Source organism: Homo sapiens, chromosome 20 (genome assembly GCF_000001405.40).
Source record: "Homo sapiens chromosome 20, GRCh38.p14 Primary Assembly".
In the NCBI taxonomy this organism is placed as follows: domain Eukaryota; kingdom Metazoa; phylum Chordata; class Mammalia; order Primates; family Hominidae; genus Homo; species Homo sapiens.
The window spans coordinates 56,776,525-56,783,035 of NC_000020.11; positions in this window are offsets into that span (position 1 = coordinate 56,776,525).

The following is a 6,511-nucleotide window of genomic DNA, read 5'->3' on the forward strand; positions in this document are numbered from 1 at the left end:
CACACATCCCTCCTGGGCCTCAGGCCCGCCTCCTAGTCACAGTGGTTGGCAATGTGGTGGGCACTGGATGTGGCTGAGCCAATCAAAGCCCTTCCCTTTCAAACGGGCCTGGGAAGGAGAAAACTCACTTGGAGGCTCACAGTGCCCCTGCCCTCTGTGAACCGCACAAGCCTGGAATAACTTCTTCCTGGTCATCTGGCCTGGGCGAGGCTGGGAGCTGCTCAAGGGCAGGAAGACCAAGGTCCTGTCTGCTCCCATAAGCCTAGCACTCAAGGCTTGTGCTGACCAATGGCAGGTGGTTAATCAGAATTTGATGAAGAAATGAATGAATGAGGAGTTCTGCTCTCTCCTCTTTTTCCATCAGTAGTCAATAATTGTCTTCTCAGAAGATTGCATTTTTTCTTTTATTCTTTTTTTCTTTCTTGCTCATTTATTTTATTTTTAATTTTTTTTTTGAGACAGTCTCGCTCTGTTGCCCAGAATGTAATTTTTTTCATTAATGGGATATTTCAATTTGAGTATAGTCAAAGAACCCCCCAAATACCAACTCAGGCTTCAGCAACGATCATTCCGATGTTATTTTTTCATATTTCCTTCTCTCCTCTATGAGGAGGGTAGAGGGGCTAGAATATTTTAAAGTAAACCCCAGGCACTGAATCATTTTTCCCCCAAATACTTCAGTGTGTATGCTGAACATATAAATATTTTTTTCGGATAACCATAATCGCACTCTCACACTTAACAAAGACAATTATAATTTCTTAATATCACAAAATACCCAGACCACGTTCAAATTTCCTCCATTGTCTCAAAAACTGTCTACAGTAGGTGTGCTTAAATCTCATTGAATTATAATCACACTGAGGTGTCAGCAGGAATTTCTTTGGTCGCAAGTGACCAAATGTCTGCAACTGGGATGTTTCTAGCTGTTCCCTGGAAGTAGGTTTCTGTGGTCAGGAGGCCTGGGAAATACCGAGTTGCAGAAAGTTAGGCTATCCCATTCCTCTCCCATCTTTAGAAGGCTAAAGTGTGTGGTGAATCTGAGTGTAAAAGAGATTTTTGCAAACTTGGTTGACCTTGGAAATTTTATTTTATTTTTTATTTTATTTATTTTATTTTTTAAAATTTTTATTTTTTATTTATTATAAATTTTATTTATTTATTTATTTATTTATTTATTTATTTATTTATTTCTGAGACAGAGTCTCTCTCTGTCCCCCAGGCTGGAGTGCAGTGGCGCGATCTCAGCTCCCTGCAACCTCCGCCTCCCGGGTTCAAGCGATTCTCCTGCCTCAGTCTCCCGAGTAGCTGGGATTACAGGCACCCACCACCATGCCCAGCTAATTTTTGTATTTTTAGTAGAGATGAGGTTTCACCATGTTGGCCAGGCTGGTCTTGAACTTCCGACCTTCAAGAATTCACCCGCCTCGGCCTCCCAAAGTGCCACCGCACTCGGCCGATCTTGGCAATCTTTGAGTTCATACATTCTTGTATGAAGGCGATATCTCCCCCAAAGGGGCAAAAATTGGTTCTTTAGTGGCAAAAAACCTTTTTTTTTTTTTTTTTTTTGGTAGAGATGGGGTTTCACCATGTTGCCCAGGCTGGTCTCAAACTCCTAGGCTCAAGCCATCTGCCTGCCTTGGCTCCCAAAATGCTGGGATTACAGGCGTGAGCCACCATGCATGGCCTAAAAATCCTACTTTATATGTATAAAGCCCATGTGTACATTCACTACATAAATAGATATACTGTAGATCTGTGGCATTAAAATTGCATGTGGAGGGAGTGGCAAATAGAGAAAATGTTCCAGAAAAGCTCCTTAGAGGGGGAAATGAAAAAAATAAATGAAGAAACATTATTTTATTTTCCATCTGCACCTTAGTTCCCACATCTGTAAAATCGGGATAATAATCGTGCCTAATTCAGAGTTGTGGCAAGATTTAAAAGCATTTACAGAGTGCCTGGCTCACTGGAAGTGCTATATATGCATTAGTTATTATCCTGGTTGTTGTTCTTGACATTTTTGGAGCATTTTGTAGGTGTTGGTAAATTAAAGAGCCCAGCTCTGGGGTCAGATGAACTGGGTTTGGAGACTTTCCTTTAATTTGTGAATATTCCATTTTCTCATCTGCAAATGAAATAAAACTGCCTTGCGAAGCTGCTGTCCACGTTAAAGGGAGTAACATAAGCAAAGTCCCTGGTGTATTAACCAACTGTTATTTTTATCCCCTTCTGCAGATGGGCAAACTGAGACCCCAAGCCCTGGAGAGATGTGTTCAGACAGATGTGCAAGTCCCCCCTGCTCCAGCCCACTGTGGCTCCGGGCTTCAGTCTTCAGTTGGCCTTTGTTCTGCCACTTTCTCCTGGAAGTCACGCCTCTCTCTCTTCCTGCCTCCCACATCACAGGAGTCTGCACGCACCCAACCAGCTCAAAAGGCTCTGACAGATGTGAGTTTGTTGTTTTTGTTGCCTTTTTTTAAAACAGACTGCCACTTTGCCTTTGTCTAAACAGAGCAGCAGTGAAGGCAGAGAATCTGTAAGTCTTCCTTGTCCCTCTGCCAAGTGCTGCCTCTGGTCAACCAGAGCCGCCAACTCTGTTATCTTTTCTGCTGGAGGCGGTAAGGGCAGGCCCGGCGCTGGGGCTCACCAAGGCCTCTTACTGGTTTTCTCGGCTCTGATTCTGGGTCTGGAGCCCCTGGTGTAAACCCCGCAAGGTGACCCCAGCAAATTTGCCCTTTTGAACAGGGAGTCCAAGGACCCTGGGCACTCTCAAGCCCAACTGCAGTGACAAAAGTTCTTTCTTTTTGTCTCCACCCCATCAGCTTTTGAGGGTATGGCTCTGGTAGCCCCCATAGTATAACCTCTGTCTGGTGGCCGGCTCAGGTTTTGGGGGATGTGGAGGGAGGGTCAGGGATGCCAGCCTGGGCCATCACCCGCTTGCATAGGTCTGGAAATCAATAGCTGTGTCTGCCTTGGAGGAGGGCAGAGAACTTTCCAGTGGCTTCTGTTGTGCAGTTTTTTATTTTTAACCATAGAGTCCAGCACGGGAGTCAGACTGCCTGCATTCAAGTCTTATTTCCTTCCATCCTCTATAGGTGACCCCTTGAGTGACTGTGGCCAAGAAACAAGTTAATTAAAATCTCTCCAGGCCTCAGTTTCCTCATCTGCAAAGTGGGGAGAATGATAGTGCCTTTTTCACAGGATTCAGCGGGGATAAAGTGAAGGGATGCATTTAAACCTGGCACACACAATAAATGTCAGCTGTGGCTAGTAGGGCCCTGCTGAGCCGGCCCCGTACACCTCTCACACTTCATTTCCCACCATTCCCCTCCCCGCATACTCTGCTACAGCTGCCCTCCCCTCCCCTCCCATCCTCTCTCCTCCCCTCCCCTTCCCTCCCTCCCCTCCCCTCCCATCCTCTCTCCTCCCCTCCCCTCCCTCCCCTCCCTCCCCTCCCTCTCCTCCCTCTCCTCCCTCTCCTCCCCTCCCCTCCCCTCCCCTCGTGATGTGAGGCAGGCTTGGGCTCGCTTCAAGGCTTTTGCTTCTCGGCTTCCTCTGCCTGGGGAGCTTTTTTCCCAGATCTTCGCCAGGCAGGCTTCCTACCTGCTCGTTGTCTCAGATCTGGGGTCACTTCTTCTAGGAGGCCACTTTCTCTCACAAGACCCTGTTTTATTTGCTTCATAAACTTTACCCGCACTAGAAATTATCTGGTGCATTTATCTCTTGCTTGCGTATTGTCTGATCTACCTAAGCAAAGTAAATTTCCATTTTTAGGAACCCTATCTGTACCCCCGAGCGTCTAAAATAGCGGTGGCGTACCGTTATTGGTCAGTAAGTGACTGGGTAGAATACCTGCTTAAGCAACACAAATCCAGTGCTGGTTGAGCTTTGGTTAAATCACGTGTTTGGTATTCTGAGAAGCTCATTGTATACTTTCTTCTCTTAATTTTATGACACACTTCTGAAGGGGGTACTCTTTTTGGCCTCATACCACAGATGAGGCAACAGTCTCAGAGGGGTTAAGTAACTTCCCCGAGGTCACACAGCTAGTAAGCAATAGTGGCTTAGAGAGGCTCAAGTCTGGGTCTGTCCCAGTGCTTCCTTGGCCCTCTTTTTTTTTTTTTGAAACTGAGTCTCACTCTGGCACCCAGGCTGGGGTGCAGTGGCATGATCTCTGCTTACTACAAACTCTGCCTCCTGGGTTCAAGCTATTCTCATGCCTCAGCCTCCTGAGTAGCTGGGATTACAGGTGTGCGCCCCCACGCCCAGCTAATTTTTGTATTTTTAGTAGAAACAGGGGTTTGCCATGTTGGCCAGGCTGGTCTCAAACTCCTGACCTCAAGTGATCCGCCCACCTCGGCCTCCCAAAGTGCTGGGATCACAGGCGTGAGCACCGTGCCCAGCCAACCCTGGCCTTCTTTTGAATGAGGTCCCAGAGCTTTGATGGAAGAGGGAGTGAAGAACAGCAGTGCAAATATGTCTTGTTTGAAGCACACTTTCATTCTGCACTAGTAATATTTACATCCCAAATTGCCTTTGAGCCTCCCAGCAGCCCTGGTGTATGGTGGGATGTGAACCAAGGCTCAGAGCCAGGATGTAATCTCTTGGGGCCACCGGATCCTGGCTTAGCCTTCTGTGGGACATGTGGTTGCTGGACTTGAGAAAGGTCTCAGCTTAAACCCTAGCCCTCTGGGAACCTCCTCTGAGCCAGTCTGGTCAGCTGCCAGTCCGGTATCACTCTTCCTCGAAGTGCGGCCCCTCCCTGGCACTCACCCTTGCATGCCATTGCTCAATTGCATCTTCCCTGGCTTGCTGGACTCGTGCCGTCCAGTGCAGTGGCCACTAGATCAACAGGGGGCAACTTTGCAACAACAGGGGACATTTGGCAGTGTCTGGAGACATTTGTGGTTGTTGCGTCTGGAGAGAGGGGACGCTACTGGAACTGGAGGAAAGAGTCCAGGGTCGCCGCTGAATGCTCCACAATGCACAGCACAGCCCACACTAAAACTATGGGATCCCGGTTGAGAATCTCTGCCTTAGACCTCAGTGGCTACTGAGCACTTGAAATGCGGCTGGGCTGAGCTGAGATGTGCTGTGAGTACAGAACACACACTGGATTTCAAAGACTTAGTTTGAAAAAAAGAATACAAGATAGTTGATTAATCATTTTTAAATATTGACTACATGTCAAAGTGATAATATTTGGATATAGTGGGTTAACTAAACTGGAGGATAAAATTCGGTGTGCCTGTTTCTTTTTATCGTTTGATTTGTGTCTGCTAGAAGATTTCAAATGACCTACAGGGCTCACATTATATTTTGATTGGGCAGCAGTGTGCTGGACTAGACATCCATGAGGAAAGGGGTCTGTCTGGGTTTGCTTGTCACCGCAAGTGCAGGGCTGGACAGGAGCTTGACACGTGCTGGGTGCTCAGTAGATAGTTACTGAGCAGGAAGAAAGGAGGGACAGCAGAGAGGGAGGGAGGGAGAAGGAAGAAAGAAGGAGGGAGAGAAGGAAGGAGGGAGGGAGGGAAAGAAGGAGGGAGAGAAGGAAGGAGGGAGGGAGGGAAAGAAGGAGGGAGAGAAGGAAGGAGGGAGGGAGGGAAAGAAGGAAGGAGGGAGGGAGGGAAAGAAGGAGGGAGAGAAGGAAGGAGGGAGGGAGGGAAAGAAGGAGGGAGAGAAGGAAGGAGGGAGGGAGGGAAAGAAGGAGGGAGAGAAGGAAGGAGGGAGGGAGGGAAAGAAGGAGGGAGGAAGGAAGGAGGAAGGAAGAAAGGAAGGAAAGAAAGAAGGAAAGAACAAAAGGGAGAAAGGGAGGGAAGAAAAGGAAGGAAGAAGGCAAGGAGGAGAGAGGGAGGAAAGAAAGAGAAGGAGGGAAGGAAAGAGGGAAAGAAGGGGGGAAAGGAAAGAGGCAGGGAGGAATAGAAGGAAGGAGACACAAACACTCCCGGCAGCTGTCTTGAAAGGCCTCTAAAACCCCACTGGTGAGCCCAGAATTCTCTCCCCATGTCCAGTATTTAAGGCAGCTGCCAAGGAGCGTTCCTTCCTTCTAGCGGATACCCCAGCTGCCCCGTCCCTGGTCTCTGCCCTGTGTCCCCGCCCAGTGTCTCCTCCAGGTCCCCTTGGCTGGGGATGGCCTTGGGTACTCACTTCATGCCCTGTTTGGGAGCTTCTCCATTTGCAACCTGCTCCCATTCTGGTCCTCATTAGCAGTGAGAGGTAGTCAGGTTTGAAAATCTTAGCTGTGTGAGCCCGGAGCCTCTGGGATAAAAATCCCAGGGATGCAGTTCCAGGCTTTCTGTGACTTTAATTATCTTTAGCAAAGGGGTTGATTTTCCCCACAAGAAAAGGGGGTGAGCCCCGGAACACATATTTAGGAACTTCTTTCCTGTCCTGACTATGAGCTTTCTGAGAATACGGCGAATACTTCACCATTACACAACAGAGATGACTGAGCAAGTGTGGGGAGCATGGCCAGCTGGACTCGACAGGATTCTTTACCCAATATTAAAAA